This window comes from Homo sapiens, chromosome 16 (assembly GCF_000001405.40).
Source record: "Homo sapiens chromosome 16, GRCh38.p14 Primary Assembly".
Lineage (NCBI taxonomy): Eukaryota > Metazoa > Chordata > Mammalia > Primates > Hominidae > Homo > Homo sapiens.
The window spans coordinates 8,084,314-8,101,973 of NC_000016.10; the positions used below are offsets into that span (position 1 = coordinate 8,084,314).

The 17,660-nt window shown below is 41.1% G+C and overlaps 2 long non-coding RNA genes across 3 annotated transcripts in view; one reads left to right on the forward strand and one right to left on the reverse strand.

Annotated features, from left to right (window-relative positions):
• The window catches only part of LOC105371069 (uncharacterized), a 236,274-nt gene that overhangs the window by 207,831 nt on the left and 10,783 nt on the right, over positions 1-17,660 (reverse strand). The gene's annotated exons all lie outside the window — the stretch shown is intronic.
• LOC124903641 (uncharacterized) lies at positions 7,297-15,160 on the forward strand. Of its 2 annotated transcripts, none has more exons than XR_007064972.1 (6): positions 7,297-7,536; positions 8,161-8,242; positions 9,275-9,453; positions 11,626-11,778; positions 14,028-14,568; positions 14,954-15,160. It is a non-coding gene; the product is annotated as an uncharacterized LOC124903641 (long non-coding RNA). The 2 variants fall into 2 exon arrangements; XR_007064973.1 differs by having other exon boundaries at positions 11,626-11,754.

The following is a 17,660-nucleotide window of genomic DNA, read 5'->3' on the forward strand; positions in this document are numbered from 1 at the left end:
AGTTAAAAGTGACTATGGAAAATAGTGGCTCAACTCAACTGAACCTTTTAGATTAAATGCCTGATTGATAGATGATGGTTATTTATGATTAAAAAAGAAAGGCGTGGTTTCCTGGAATAATTGGAGGCCCTGCAGCCCCACTGACAGAAAATCTGCCAGAATGTTTCTTTCCAGGCTTGGTCAGACAACTCAGACACTCCCCTTTTCTATTTGCCTCTCTGGGAAATTAAAGTCTGCAGCCCTTTGGTGACCATATGCTAATTACTAGCCACTTGCTTCTAAAAGGCAGATCTTATCTTATCACTTGGCTGCTCAAAACTTTTCAGTTTGTTTTCCATCAGGCTCAGGGTAAAGTCTAAACTTTTGGACAAAGCCTCTTCTTAAGACTCTTTCTACACTAACCCTGTACTACATGTTCCAGACATTCTGAAGGTCTTTCATTTTCTGCAAAATTATAATTTATTGGCTGACTGGCCAGATGGATGGATGGATGGGTAGATGGTTGGGTGGATGGATGAACAGGTGGATAGATGGATAAACAGATCAATTAATGAATGAACTCCCAATTTCTTTCACAGGGGTACTTAGTTATAGTCCTTAAAATATCTTCCCTTAGTCTAAACCACTCTCTACCTGTGCATGTGTCTGAATCATATTTACTCACCAGGTGTTGAGGTAGTTGTACCCTTCGGTGATGTTTAACTTCACTCATGGTTTTAACCTGTCATCTTGGTTCAGCCTCTGGGAGGCCTCAAGGGCCTGGTAGTGGACATCATTTTCCCTGATTCATGTTACACTTAATTACCTCCCTCTGACAACCAGGCACAGATTTCTAGTGTTTTTCTCTTCTCACTCTTCTATTTTTTTTTAACTCAACCCTTAACACCTACCTATTAAATAGAGATGGCTGCAGTTCTTGGCTCAAATGGAGGGCCAAGATGAGTGACAACTTGTAGTCGAATCAGTCAGTAGATTTTCAACTTCTAACACAACACTTTTCCCCAGGTCTGAAGAAGATCTCCAGGATTATTTTTTCCCAAACTTCATATTAGTTTTGCAATAATAAAAATGCCTTATGCAGAAAAAAGTTAATAATTTTTGAGGCTGTATAATGGATACAATGGGTTCATTATTCCATTCCATTTGCATGGATGCATAGAATTTGTTCTTTTATCCTGTTGAGCTCTACATATTAAAATGAGCAAAGATATGAAACTCATGATACCTAAAAGATGTGTGTGTTTATGTCTATTATTGGAAGAAAGATATAATAGCCCAATTATATTGTAATACAGAAATATTATCCAAAACACAATTATTTTCACTTCTAAATGCCTTACCCCAGTCCCTGAGAATAGACCCACATTTTTAGAAGATGGCATTAATATTGCCCACGTCATTTTATGTTCTGCTTTATTCATTTCATAGTTGATCAAAAACATTTTTTGTATTTCCACTCAGTTTTATAATAATAATTTTTAATATCTGCATAATTTCCTATCAGGTTGATGAAACAACACTGAGTCCATCCATCCCCTATGGATGGACATTTTTATTATTTCTATGTTTTTGTTGCCATTGCTGTCATTGGAGATAATGTTGCAAACCCTAATAAAGGATGCTGAATATAGAAGATCTTATTAAAGTTTTTCATCAATTTTTCCTTTTCCAAAGAGTATTTGATTATCTCAGAACTCATAGTGTCCTTAATTTCTATTTTCATTTTTTCATGGTTTTCACACTTGTGGATCATCTTTCTTAATATTTTGTAATCGTCCCTTCTCTAACTTTAACCTTAAGGAGCATATTAAATACTGCTGGCACAAGCACACAGATCTGGTGTCAAACCAACCTGAATTCAAATGCTTTATCCAACCACTTAATAACTGTGAGAACTCAGAAGTGTGATTGAATATTTCTAGGCTTTAGTGTTCTCACCTGCAAACTGAGAATAGTAGAGACATCATAGGTTTATTGTAGAGTACTTTAAGAAAACTTTTGTTGCTACTCTTAATATTTTTATTATTACTGTATTTTGTTTAAATAGCCTGAAAAAGTTGAGCTCAGAAAAAATAGGACCAGGTCTGAAAACTGTAAAGAAGAATTTTTTTTTTCTTTTTTTGGTTTGATTTATTTGTTTGCTTGTTTTCTTTCCAATTTCCGTTTTCATAACCAGAGAGCACTCTGCTGGCAAAAGACCAATTTTACGGTATCCTCATCTGACTAGCCATACTAATCTTTCTCTGAGATATCTTCCCCTGAAACTACACAATACTCATAAAAATAAATTTTAAGGCCAGGCTTGGTGGCTCACGCCTGTAATCCCAGCACAAGGCCTCGTGGGCAGATCATGAGGTCAGGAGATCGAGACCATCCTGGCTAACGTGGTGAAACCCTGTCTCTACTAAAAATACAAAAAATTAGCTGGACATGGTGGTGGGCACCTGTAGTCCCAGCTACTTGGGAGGCTGAGGCAGGAGGATCGCTTGAACCCAGGAGGCGGAGGTTGCAGTGAACCAATATCGTACCACTACACTCCAGCCTGGGTGACAGAGCGAGACTCCATCTCAAAAAATAATAAATAAATAAATTTAAAAATAAATGGTGACAGTTTGGCCTAACGAATGAGTTTCCCTCATTTTTCATAATCATGGTGATTCACTGAAATGGTTTTGAAGTTTTCACCATTGTTAATAACTTCGTAGTCAATAATTCTGAGCGAAAAATATTTCCTTCAAAGGAGGATTATTTCCTTAGGATGAGTTTTTGCGTTTGGAGTAACTATGTCAGACAATTTAAACTTGACTCATTTTGAAATCATGCTTTTCTAAAGTTTCTGCATTGGGAATAACTATGCTTTTCTGAACTGTTGTACCAATTTTCTTACACCAACTAAACCTTTTTTGGCTCAGTAATAACTAGAGGAAAGAGAGTAGAGCATCCAAAAATAATGAATTCAGTTCACTTCAATATGACAAGATTCATGTTCTGGGAAATATCATACGTGCATATGTCTTGTTTTATATTTGTTGTTTCAGGCTATGTTTGTGTATCAAATAACCAAACAAATATTTCCATGGTAAAAATATTGTAGCTTCTACTTAGCAACATATAAGCAAAGATTCGGAAATTAACCTGGAAAGTGAAATTATGATGGGAAAAAAACAAAAAGAACATTTACTGTACTAAAAACTCAATGGACTGAGCAAAAATACAATAAATCTTGATTAGGTTCAGTCTAATTTTACCTTCCTTTACGTGTCTCACAAATGTTAGCCGAACAGCAGATTGCTTAAAATAACATTCTGCTTTTAAACTTTTGGGCTTATGGAAATCTTTGCTTGTGGTTGTTGTTATTAAGAAATAGTGATTTTCCTTTACTCTTAGTTATGAAGTTGTTCTAGATTAGAATGCCAAAGTGTGGGACTGTCTAAGCTTAGAATTCCCTCCACCATCCTTTCAGTCTCTCTCCCTCTCTCTCTTCCCCCCACCTTCTCCCTTTCTCTCTCTCTTGTATCTCTCTCTCTTTCTCTCCTTTCCTGTGTCTCCCCACTTCCCAGGCAGATTGCTTCTGTTCTGTCAAATGTTCATTCACCTTTGCTAATGAGTAGCTAATGGGTTTTGGCATCGTGGGACACACAGGGATTGAGAGGGCTGTTTGATCACGGGATGGCCTGGTGTGCTGTGATTGTGCATATGGGATCCTCAAAACCAGCCCCAGAGCCGTTTCCTAGTTTCCCCAATAGTTTCCTGGAACATAGGGTGTTTAGAAATAAAGCTCTATTTTAAAACCTCCGATTCACCACTTTATCTGGCTAACATCCTTCCCTCTTGGAATTGATAACATGTTGACTGTGAGTCATAATGGTAACTTCCTCATGAACATCTGATGTTGTGAAATTAACAAAGTCGAGAACTCCCCAACAGTTAAGCCAAGAAATGAATTATAAAAATGTACTTCAGTCACAATACCAGAGAGAATCCGGTTATGAATTAGTAACAGATGGGAAAATACTATTCACTTTCAATTTTACATAAATGTCTATAATGCTTGTTCTGATCATAAGTTTTTATTTCTTCCAGAGCTTCATTATGGTTCTAGCAAGATTCACCATTAAAAAATATAATAAAAAGCTTGGGTTGGGCAGATGCTATTTTTCTTTCTTCCCTCTCTGCTTGTTAAGCAAAAAAATAAAAAAATAAGTAAATAATTCAGGTGAACAATATATATATACATATCATTTCATTGCTTACTTTTTGCTTTACAAAACAAATTATTATGCATTTCCTCAAACCAGTTAGTCAGGGTATTTATTTTTCTTTTTTTAGATTAGCACCTGTGCCAGAAAGGAAACTGTCAGTTAATGAAGTCTCTAACTCCCTTTTTACTCCATATTACTACAGCTCTCACACAACCTTTAAAAGTAAAAAATATTGAGTATTTACAGCAAATTCTTGACATAAAAACTGTCTCTGTGAATTCACCAACAGTTGAAGCCAAGTGGTTAGATCACAGACAAAGAAAGAAGATAAATGCTCTTTGGTGTTCAGTTTGGTAGACCCCTGGTATATTTCCCAGCCTTGATACTAGTATCAGGCACAAAACATGAGCCTTCTTGGATTTCTCTCTACAGCCTCCTTCCCTGGAAAATTACCACCCACATTCTGGACCACTTGGCTGCCATCTTTGCTGGTGCCCTTGCTAGTTTCCCTGAGTTGGCTGGGGTCAAGGTTGAAGCCCTGGGCCTGGATGATCCTCACTTCCAGTACGCTGAACCATGTTGAGTCAGCCCTCCACTTCTGATCTTGAATGGACTACAACACTGTGAGGTATGGGATCCAACTACCTGAGAGAAGTTCAAGGGCAGATGATATAACCTTGAAGTGTGGAAGATCGGTCCTTCATGGAGTGAAACTTGACCAAAGGGAAATAGGAGATAGAAGGAGCTAGAGGAATAGATTCCTCCTCTTTTCTCTTTTATAGACCCTTCTCCTAAGTGTACATCTTTTTTGCAACACTCTCTGTGAACATCCTTTCTGCTGGGCCACCAGACTTGCTCAGCATACCTGATTTGCCTCTGTGCAGCACTTATAAAGTAGTGCTCAGCACTGAAATGCAATGCATAGCATTACCTCTTATCTTTCCCTGTCTTCCCTCCATTTTCCCCCACAACCCTTATTGTCCTGGGCTTTCAGCTCTCGGAGTATCATTACTGTAATCCTTGCCTCAATCCCTGCTTTCTAGAAATGCACTCTTCTACTTTGGGCATCATAATTATTGGTACTGTCCCTTTTCACTCTTTTAAGTGGTAGGGACAACTTCCCTTCAGAAGAGACAACTTTGGGAAAAAATAAAATGGAGTGTAGTAGTTGAATGGTGGCCCTAAAGAAAGATATGTGCTGATCCTCGGTACCTGTGAATATGGCCATATCTGAAATATAGACTCTGCAGGTGGAATTAAGGATCTCTAGACCTGATAATGCTGGGTTTAGGATGAGCCCTAAATCCAATGATGGGTGTCCTTATGAAACAGAAAAGGAGAAAACACAGAGAGAGACACAGAGAGCAAGGGGCCTGTGCAGCCACAGGCAGAGGAACTCTAAGAATTGCAGCAGCCACCATGAAGTAGGAGAGAGGCATGAGACAGATTCTCCCACAGAGCCTTCAGAAGGAAGCAAACTGGTGACACCATGATTTCAAACTCCTAGATTCTAGAACTCTGAGACAATATGCTTCTGTTGCCTTAAGCTGCCGAGTATATGATAATCTGTTACGGCAGCCCTGGAAACAAATACAGAGAGGATGAACAGTTGCAGGTTCTTTCTTTCTTTCTTTCTTTTCTTTCTTTCTTTCTTTTCTCTCTCTCTCTTTCTCTCTTTCTTTCTTTCTTTCCTTCTTTCTTTCTTTCTTTTCTAACAAGAGAGGAACTGGGCTTGACTTGATTTATGCTTGTGTTTATGATTTGGAAACTATCCACATTCCTCGAATCCCCTTTCAGATATGTATTTCTTGCAAGCAACAGTGCTTAGATCATAGACAAAGAAAGAAGATAAATGCTCTTTGGTGTTCACTTTGGTAGAGCCCTGGTATTTTTCCCAGCCTATAAACCCTCATTTATTCTAAGACCTACTTCATCGATGCTTTCTCATCACCTGCCCTCTGCAGTGGACTGACATACTTCCCAAGCAGAAGTCTTTCTCCAACCTGGTGGGCTCCAGTTGACCCTTCAAGAACTAGCCCAAATGTCATCTCTACTAAGATGCCTTCCTGATTTTTCCCAGTCATTGAGCACTCACTCCCTCCTCTGTGCTCTTGAAGTACCTATTTTTTTAGAGCGCTATTCACCCTGTACTGCAAATGTAAATATGATTTTTCATCTCTTCCACTACACCAATTTTTTTAGGTGCATTTTTTTGTGTTCAGGGTGGCCCATGAATTCCTATATAAAATAAACAGCGGGTCTTGTTTGCAAGGCAGGATGCTTGGTGCAGTGTCTAAGAACAATTCCAAATTCAGAAATTATGTTCCTCTCATATCTTTTTCATTCTAGCTAAGCGGCTTACTCCCCATAGCCAATCTTCCTTCCTAAATGCAATACTTTATTTGTGAAAGTGCTTTTTTTAAAAAAAGAAAAAAAGTGTGGGGGATATGGGCATTATTTTAGAGAGACTTTCTAAAGAACTATAACAAGTCTATTTGAATCTTTTATTTGGTATTAACTAGATATTTTATCATAAGTGAGCAGGGAGTTTCTGGTTCACTTGTCTTTATTGCTTTCTTGAATGCATTTCAACCTTTTCCATAATTCAAGTACATATAATCCCCAATCCTTTTTTCCTTCAAATTTTAACTCCTTCGCTATGTTCCTCATAACTCCTCCTGTTAACGTCTCTAAGAATTCACCGCTGAGTTGTCACCTTGAATGAATATATGCTTTGAACTCATGGTGAATTGTGCCTTTTAAATAACACTGTAACAATGGGAGTAGTTCAGCTTGTTTTACCCTTAGTCAAAATTACTTGTTCCAAGAATTTTTTTCTCCCCTTGATTCAGAGTAACCTGAGGGAGACCTGCTATGCAGCAATGGAATCTGTAATAGGTTTATCTTAGGAGGAGCTCTAGTCCCTGATCCTGGAATAATTAAGGAAATGTTCTTGATGTCCCTTTTGAATTCCTGCAAAAGGGCACAGTGAATATTCACTGCAGTTTCCTACTGGGTATATATATATATATATATATATATATATATATATTTTACTTTTGCCTCTATTCTTCCAACCTATTCTGTTCAACATCTGGCACCACTGTCTTCCCCAGGCTCATCTCCTTCAACATATTTTGTGCTTTAACCACAGATAACTGTTTGGAACCTGTCTCTGTATGCCCGCATATCCCATCCTTTCCAAATGGGATGACCTTTCTCTCTTTTTGCACCAGGAAAACTCGTCCTCAAAAATCAGAAAGAAATTTTCCTTCACCATAATGCCTGATGACTCAGAGGACTTTTTTCATGCCCTGAAATAATCTATTGAGATGTGAGTCTGTTCTTTGTTTCTTGTGCTCTAGGAAGCTCTAATAAATGAGATACACTTTTTTCTCCTCCATCAAAAGACAGTGGCTGAAACTTTCTATTCTGAATTTAGGTTTCTAGCCTGCATGGAGCTGGGGTTAAGCTAGGACAGGCATTCTTGACGTCCCACCAAACACACTTTCATAAGCACTGTCTTAAGTCATTCTGAGCAGAGCAACTGCTTATTGTTGTCTACAGAGATGTATGCTAAGGAGTGCAGAGAGATGAAAGGATGGATTCTATCACAGGAATAGCAGGGTGAGGGTTTATGATAAAGCAAAGCCTGGTTTGGGAATGTCAGAGTGTAGAGAAAGCAGCATCAGGAGATGGGCACACTTTAAGTGGAAATAAAGGAGTCAGGAAGGAAGATGGAAAGACAGGAAATTAAATTGAAGGTGAGAGAGGTGTACAAGCCAAGATCCATCTGTAGAGTTTCTAAGGTTTGAGTCAAGATCCAAGTCTGTTCAGTGATATATTGTCTCCAGTTCTATAAAGTGATGGGTCAGAAAATTACCATTGTGTGAGTGTTTAATCTATGCCCAGCACAGTGTTAGGTAATTTGATGAAAGTATTTCATTTAATCACCAAGTGACCCTGTGAAGGATGTATTATTAAACACGCTGTTCAGAAAAGGACACCAAAGCTCAGAGAAGGTCTTTGAGAACCAAAATGTGAGTTCAATTTCAGTATGTCTGACTGTAAAGATGTTCTTTTTAGTCTACTAGGTCATCTCGCCTTTTGAAACCAGGGATCTAGGCCATACCTGGTCTCATATAGGTATTGCCCCAGTGGTATCAGCCTCTACCTCATAGGAGAAGGACCCAGGACAAACAAAGCCTCCATCACCATTTGGAGGAACCAAATCAAGTTCTATAATGCCTAGTCCAGTCCCAACCCCTAATAAGATTCCCTCACTACCCAAGAAGGCAGTGGAGTAGTTAAAAACTTAACTGTCAACCTGGAAATTCTCTAAGCCCTTCTACCTCTCTCAGTCAATTGCTTTTCCCCAGCGTGGGAAGTAAAGTCCTGTTGACAGTCATAGGTGGAAGACTTCCACCTCCCTTGTGGGGATCTATCTTTGGCTAACTGTGTTGAGCCTCTTCTGTCATCATTAGTGGGTTCTTTTATGGCCTCCCCTGGAGCTTAAGACTTATTGTAAGTATCAGCCCTGTTAGAGGGTTCCAGAGGGGACCATTGGAGCTTTATGGAAACTTTTCCATCTGCTAAATGACCTTGAGAAAAGAGTTTAGTTACTGACTCCCTGAACTCATCTCTCCACCTTCCCAGCCAATCTCTGGGGTGTGATTTTATGTTTCTGACATCAACTATAACTTGAGAGTTTCACTCTATGGTTGATATAAAGTATTCATTTAATGACAGAATAAATTGGAGTTTCTGATTGACCTTGTTATATCCTTGTCAGTTAAATCAGTTCAAGTCTGGAGTGCATGCTCCCAATCTACCCAGTATGTGCCTGCCCCCTCCACCCTTACATGCACATAGATGACATTTCGTTTGCCGTCTTTCAGAGTCTGGGAAATAGATAATGGTTCCAGGCTCTAGCTCTTAAATCCCCCATCATCCATTAAGCTCCTTGAGATTACTCTGTGAATCACTATGGTTTAAGAACACCATGCCTTAAAAAAATAAATTGATAAAAGTATGGATTTAAAGACTTTCTCAGGCTTTGTGTTATTCTACAGGTGAGACTGCAGGGGAAACTATGTCTTCATTCACCTAGGGATCACATTGGAACCTGTGAACGACAAGACATTTGACCATCAACCCACCATTTCCACACAGAAGTGTCAGAGTTGAGAGTGAGCTGGGTGTACAAGAAGCAGCTGCAAGGCATCAGGGAAGTCCCTGAAGCGGGATAAAGGTATGTTGCGTTCAGCAAGATTATGCTGGCATGGAACAGCAATGTGACCATAAGTAAATACCCAAAGTGTGGATATTTACTCTAATATTTACTGTAATTATCATTTTTGTACTTGTAAAAATCATGCTACAATTATTTCTTGCAATTTCTCCATGAATGAGTATCTTCTACCCATTCTACAGATGCTGAAACTGAATCTCATATAGTTGTATATGTCTTTGTTTTTTTAGATCCTGAGTGTGAGGCTTGACTTTTTACTTTCTATGTGCCAGGAGGTGAACTTGAGATTGGGACTGAAGTTAGGCTGGGTGTGGTGGCTCATGCCTGTAATTCCAGCACTTTGGGAGGCTGACACAGGCGGATCACTTGAGGTCAGGAGTTTGAGACCAGCCTGGCCAACATGGTGAAACCCCGTCTGTACTAAAAATACAAAAATTAGCTAGGCATGGTGGCACATGCCTGTAATCCCAGCTACTTGGAAGGCTGAGGCAGGAGAATTGCTTGAATCCAGGAGGCGGAGGTTGCAGTGAGGCAAGATTGGCAACCGCACTCCAGCCTGGGCAACACAGCGAGAGTTTGTCTCAAAAAGAAAAAAAAAAGAGAGAGATTAGGGTTCAAGCTTGTTGAGAGTAATTTGAATGATGATTCTGCTATTGAGTTTGCCTAATGATCTTGAGCCCAGAAAGCATTAGGAGCCTAAAGTAAATAGACCCTGGAGCCAATGAGTCTGGATTTTTAGCTTGTCTTTTCTAGTCTGGAAAATGAGAAGTATAGTGTTTAGTTTCTGGAGATTTGCTGGGAAGTAAGTGAACTACTATTTTTGAATAGATGCTCAATAATTGTTGGTCTCTGCTTCTCACAGATTAGTGTCAAATGTTCATTGTTTCTAGTATAGCAAACTGTCTCGCCCATCACCCTCTGAACTTCCACAGATGTTTATCCATACCTATCTTAGAGAACCTGGCAACTTCTACTTGCGTTATGCACAAAACTAAGCCTAGTGCTACAAACAGTGGGAACAGGAATTCATCACTGAATCTATTAGTCAGGTTTCTCCAGAGAAACAAAACCAATAGAATATATGTACAGATGATGATAGATAGAGAGATAGATAGATAGATAGATAGATAGATAGATAGATAGATAGATAGACGGATAGCTATGTTGATAGATAGATAGAGAGAGAGAGAAAGACAGATATATAGGTAGATAGATAGTTAGATAGAGATATATAAACAGATTTATTATAAGGTATTCGTTGATGCAGTTTTGGAGGCTGACAAGTCCCGAGATCTGCAGAGTGAGTAAGCAAACTGCAGACCCAGGCGAGACAAGGGTGTCATTTCAGTCAAAAGGCCACCAGGCCTGAAACCCCAAAAAAGCAGCCAATGTCTAAGCTTCAGTTTGGAGGCAGAAAAAAGCCAATTTCCCAGTTCAAAGGCAGGCAGGCAGGAGAAATTTGGGGAAGGGTCAGCCTTTGTGTGCTATTCAGGCCTTTAACAGACTGGATGAAGTCCCCTCCCATTATGGAGTGCCATCTTCTTGACTCAGTCTAATGACTTAAATGTTAACCTCACCCAAAAGCACCCTCACAAGAATGCTCAGAATAATGTTTCACCAAACATCTGGGCACTCCATGGCCCAATCAAGTGAACACATAAACTCAACCATCACACTGAATAAGTGAACTTCTGCAAACTGGGCCCCATTAACTCCTCCTCTACAAACAAACACATCTTTCCTCCACCTTTGTGTTTCTCAGGCCATATTGGTTGCTCCTGCCTGCCTCCAGAGAGTTTCCTCTGGTAATAGGAGCACACGAGTTAAAAATCTTATCCTCACTTTGTAGTCACTCACACAGAGCATTAAGACCCAGTGTTCCTTGGGTTCTCCAACCAGCCTCTCTGCACCTGCTCCAGGATCCTCCTGTCATCTGGCTCTCTTCTTTCTGCCTTCTCTATGGAACCTCTGAATCCTACACATTTGATGCTGAAGGTCTTCCTCAAAGCTAATCAGGGTTTTTAAAATGCAGCTCAGCCCAAGTATGGGAGAAAGGAAATTGAGGCTTAAGCATAGCCAGCAACTTCCCACAGGCTACCCCGCTAAGAAACAGTGAATAGGGGATTTGAATACGCTGCATTTCTCTTCACTCCGCTGGGATTTCTCTTTTAGACCCTAGAGAAGCCAGTATTAGAAGATGAAGTGGCATCCCAAAGAAAGAAAAAGATAAACCATCAGAGGAGATAGGGATTGGAATAGAATAAAAGATAGAGAACTTCCTTCTCCAAGAGTTCTGTTTGCGTAAGTCAACAACAACAAAAAGAGGTATACTGTTATTTTGTGCGTCTAGCAGTCATAGTAGTATATTTTTAAAACAATCATTGGGTGCGGTAACGTTAAGAAAGGCACTTCATTGAGGTTTTTGAGCCTCTAAGAGATCGACAGTCTTAACTCTGGTGAAGCCAGGTGCTCACTGGGTCTTCCCAGCATTGCCAAGCTACAGAGAGCGGAGGCTGCATCCTCCCCCCTCATCTGTACCCTCATTGCTGATTTTATGGAATCAACCACAGTGACGAATGGCTCCGCATTTGGATGGCTGTCCCAGCTCTGGTCACAGCTGAAGCTCTCTATCACTGTTGACGTATGTGCACTCTGAGAGTTCAAGTGCAATTGGCCATCTGTCCAGGAGGCTGGAGCCATCCTCAGCATTGAAATAGCAATTGAAAGAGCCAGCTCTCCTCCAGCAGGCACCTGGAGCCAAAAGCTTGTGGCCACAGCCTCACCAGCAACTGAACGGGGCTGGGAAGGTCACCAGTTCAGCAGCAGGTAGAAGAAGGGGGTTGTGCAAAATAAATGGGAGTTCATAGCCATTACCTCTGAAAGCACCCAAGAGAAATGATTCTCCGAGTGAGTGGGGCAAAAGGCAGAGGGTGTGCTTTGTGGCTTCAGTCAAATTTGGATGTGAATATTTGCTCTACTCCCTGCAGGATGTGCGACCTTGAACATGTCACAGTATTTTCCAGTTGAAAAATTTCTTCAACTGCAAAATAGCAATAGACTCCTTTTTTCCTGCTACTCAGACCATTGTGGGAATTACTGAGGTGAAAATTGGCTTTGTCCATTAGAGAACAATGTACTGTTGTTAGCACTGTTTCCTCGGTGTGGTCAGCTATGGCCCACCTGCACAACATAGATTTTATTGTTTATGGAGGGAAATCAGTGGGGGAGAACCAGATGGTGTGGCTCAAGCTCATTTTAGGAAAAAAGCAAAAAAAAAAAAAAATTATGAGCCTCAGAAATGTTGATGAAAAAAGAGCCAAATGAAGATCCTTTACTTTTATTTATTTATTTTTTTCAGACGGAGTCTCTTTCTGTCACCCAGGCTGGAGTGCAGCGGCGTAATTTTGACTCACTGCACCATCCACCTCCTGGGTTCAAGCAATTCTCATGCCTCAGCCTCCTGAGTAGCTGGGATTACAGGCATCCACCACCACACCCAGCTAATTTTTGTATTTTTAGCAGAGATGAAATTTCACCATGTTGGCCAGGCTGGTCTCAAACTCCTGACCTCCGGTGATCCACCTGCCTCGGCCTCCCAATGATCCTTTACTTTTAATTGAAAGTGAGGCACATAATCAGGGAAAATTTAAGTAGCACCTACAATCCCAGCACTTTGGGAGTCCGAGGCGGGCGGATTGCCTGAGCTCAGGAGTTCGCAACCACCCTGGCCAACACGGTGAAATCCCGTCTCTACTAAAATACAAACAATTAGCTGGGCATTGTGGCGTGCCCCTGTAGTCCCAGCTACTCAGGAGGCTGAGGCAGGACAATTGCCTGAACCTGGGAGGCGGAGGTTGCAGTGAGCTGAGATCGCACCACCGCACTCCAGCCTGGGTGACAGAGCAAGGCTTCATCTAAAAAAAAAATAAATAAATAAATATAAAAATAAAGCCATGATAATAAATAAATATTCCCTCTCCCTTCCTCAGACTTGACCAGGTCTCCCTCTCCCATGAAACCACTGTTGCTAGTTTCCTGTGTATCCTTCAAATAAAAATCAATGTGTGGACAAGAGGAGCATTCTATAAAAGACACTTTTACTTTGTTTTTTATCACTAAGTATCTCTTGCTCCTTATCCTAACACGTGTATCTGTCTCCTCCTTTGCCTGACTGTGCAGTATTCCAACGTATGAATGTACCATTATTTACTTTAACGGTTTCTTCCTCCGTAACAACAAGTATTTTGTTATTATAAACAATGCAGCAAAACAAACATATTACAAAAATCATTCTTTGTTCATATATAGTAAAGGGTGGGATAAAAGCCTTGCTGAGTAATGAGACAGACACATTTATTCCCATTTTGATAAACCAATCAGCCCTTCCAGCAACAATGTATCCAGGTATCTGTTTACATATAGCAGCACCAAGAGATTTTACTTTCCCCTTCATTTACTTTCCCCTTCATTTACATATAGCAGCACCAAGAGATTTTACTTTCCCCAGAGCATTTGCTCATAGTATCTATGTATATTTTCATTTATTTATGTTTTGTCTTTTTGTTTTGTTGAAGGGTTGGGGGCGGAAATGATGTCAAGATAAATGAACCATGAAACCCAATTTATAAAAGAGCTACCCAGAATTGCAGCAAATGCACGGATACTCCCATCTCAAATGCACACCTACAACATGAGCTATGAAACCCAGTTTATAAAAGAGCTACCCTGAATTGCAGCGAATGTAGGGATACTCCCATCTCAAATGCACCCCTGCAGTGACATCTGTCAGGAGCCTATGGAGACAGCTGCCTCACCCAGAAGGCCTCTTGCATTTTTATTTTTGCAAATATTCAGCAGGGATGGAGGGGACTGCATCTGCTCTCTCCACTTTCTTCCTGGAGAGAGGAGGACATGAAGGAGAACAGAAGGCAAGGACAATACATTCCACTCACATTTCTAAGAATTCCATGACCGGAAGCTGCCACAAAAATAATGCAAAAGTCTGTCACCAATCACAGATGCAAGGCCTCACAGAAAGCTCACTTGAGCTGAGAGGTGAAGTTGTTCCCTGCAGATGCTCACATGAAAATGAGATAAATAGTGAACTCTTTGAAGGTAATTTATCCACCCCTTACTACCTGCCTTCCCAGATACACAGACAATCCTGTGTTTGCCACAAGCGGAAAAGAAAGGCGAGATAGGTTGCAATCCCTTCGAGGCTACCCCGGGTCATCTTTATCAAAATGATAAAATGTTTTGGGTCTTGGCAGCCCCCTGGGCTGACTCTGGGTTGGGCTTCCTGAGGTATTAAGGGGTGAAAGAGGTGAGTGCACGGCTCTTCCTGGGGCATCCCAGGGGCATCTCTTATGTCACCGCTGATAGCAGTTTTATCAAGATAAATCTAGTGCTGCTCTGGAAGGATATTAATAAATTATCTAGTAATGAAAAATGTGAGAGGAACCATACTCTTACATCAGGCTTGTGATGATTACTTTGATAGATGCACTGGCAAGATTTCCTCGACAAGGCAGAAATGAGAAACATGACACAGAAGCCTTTAAGGGTGACCTCAGAGGAAAACAGAAGTTGCTGGATGATACAGAAGCAGAAAAGGGAAAACCAGAGCTCCGAGGCACCGCGTGTCAACCACCAGATGGATTAGCTCTGCTGATCAACCGATCATGGAGTGTGGAGCCAGAAGCAGAAAGGGAGGAGAATAGAGAAATAAAAGGGAGGGGAGAAGACACAAAAGGCTTAGCTGTAGTCATAGCAGTGTGGGCTCTAGATTGACATGGGCATGGGTTGGAATCCCAGCTCTTTCTGGAAAATTGCTGAAACACCCTAAGCCCCAGTTTCCTCATCTGTAAATGAAAAGTATGGTAATAGCACTATGATATGGTTTGGCTCTGTGTCCCCACCCAAATCTCATCTCAAACTGTAATCCCCACATGCTGGGGGAGGGGCCTGGTGGGAGGTGATTGGATCACGGGGGTGGTTTCCCCTATGCTGTTCTCGTGATAGAGTTCTCACGAGATCTGGTTGTTTGGTAAGTGTGTGGCTCTTCCCCCTTCTCTCTCTCTCTCTTCAGTAAGACGTGCCCTGCTACCCCTTTGCCTTCAGCCATGATTGTAAGTTCCCTGAGGCCTCCCCAGCCATGTAGAACTGTGAGTACATTAAACCTTTTTTTTTTTATGTAAACTACCCAGTCTCAGGTAGTTCTTTATGGCAGTGTGAGAATAGGCTAATACACACCAAAACAGCAGAGTTGTGGGAGATTGCATGCAATAATAATTGGAAAGCTTTGGGAAGCAGTAAGTACTCATAAACAATAGCATAATCACTTAAAGTAGTGGGGTCTATGTGAAGGGATGAGAATTGTGGTTATGTTTACTATGAAAGAAGCAGGAACTAAGAAGAAGCTGTTAAAAAGGGGGACCTGGGTGCTCAACATTCCTTGACACAAATCATTGAGTTCCTGTTGCTCTGTTAGATTCTGCGGATGCTAACTGAAATTGGGCATTGCTTCATTCCATAAGGAACACAAATCCTAGTGTGGGAGACAAATGTATTAGTAGAAAAGTAATCAAAATAAAATAGAATAAGGGCTAGAAGAAAGGAGAGCACATACAAACTTACGGGTGGTTTTTGAATCAGACTGAGGGAAGGCTTGCTTGGAGAGGTAAACTTGAAATGGAATTTTGCAGGATAAATAGGACTCATCAATAGAGTGAAGAAAGGGAAATGTTAAACATGTTTCTTGTAGAGCAAATTTAAATGAAAAAAATCTGAGAATGGTATATGATTTGGTGCAATTGTAGTACAGAATGGGAACCAGGGAGCTTCCACCAAAAAGAAGAAGTTGGAGAAGTAAACCTGGCCAGATTAATCGAAGTCACGTTGTGAGCATGTGTGCAATAATGTAGTGAAAAATCACTGACTTTTTAGCATCTGTTTCTCCCCTATCTTAGCAACTGCTCCTTGATTCACTTTCAGAGACTTTCCTTTCCAGCATTCCCATTGATTTGTGAGCTGCAGAACTGCACACAGAAGGCTGGGGCAGGGTGGAAGAGCAGGGAGTCCCCAGAGGCACAGTCACCTGCTAATTCTTTGCACCTGAACCTCCGTGAGTACATGGTGCAGCTCACTGAAGGCAAGGGGGCATAAGGACTAAGAGACATCTTCAAAAAATGTGAAAATGGCTGGGCTCGGTAGCTCACACCTGTAATCCCAGCACTTTGGGAGGATGAGGCAGGTGGATCACCTGAGGTCAAGAGTTCAAGACCAGCCTGGCCAACATGGTGAAACCCCCACGTCTACTACAAATGCAAAAATTATTCAGGCGTGGTGGCATATGCATGTAATCCCAGCTACTCAGGAGGCTGAGGCACAAGAATCACTTGAACTAGGGAGGTGGAGGTTGTAGTGAGCTGAGATCAAGCCATTGCATTCCAGCCTGGGCAACAAGAGTGAGACTCTGACTCAAGAAAAAAAAAAAGTGAAAATATGCAGGTGGATTGTACAGCAGAAAGAGCTCTCCAAGGTCCAAAGAGCAGGAGCCTTGGTAGTGAAGGAGAGGGAGAGATCGAAGAAGTCATGCTGGGACTCAGATCCCAAGCCCTGCTGAAGGGAGAATCTTGATCTTACCTTCAAAACATTTAAAACCAATGGTGAACTGAAGCACACTGAAGCTGCAACCCAACCCAAACCCAGTAAAATTAGGATGAGATTAAAGGGGATGAACCCTTCCACTCTAATGTGGAAGTCTGAGAGGGGACAGAGTAAACCCTTTTCTCCAGTGGTATTTCTTGACTCAGGCTCCGTTCATCTTGTATACATAATGTCTTTTTTTCTTTTTCTTTTTCTTTTTTTGAGATGGAGTCTCACTCTGTCACCCAGGCTGGAGTACAGTGGCACAATCTCAGCTCACTGCAATTTCTGCCTCCCAGGTTCAGGCAATTCTCCTGCCTCAGCCTCTCAAGTAGCTGGGATTGCAAGTGTCCACCATTACCTCTGGCTAATTTTTGTATTTTAGGTAGAGACAGTGTTTCACCATGTTGGCCAGATGCTCTCCAACTCCTGACCTCAAGTGATCTGCCCGCCTTGGCCTTCCAAAATGCTGGGATTACAGGCGAGAACCACCACATCCAGCCCACAATGCTTTTCAAATACAGTTCTAAGATATTTAAAAAGTAGGCAAATGTGCTCAA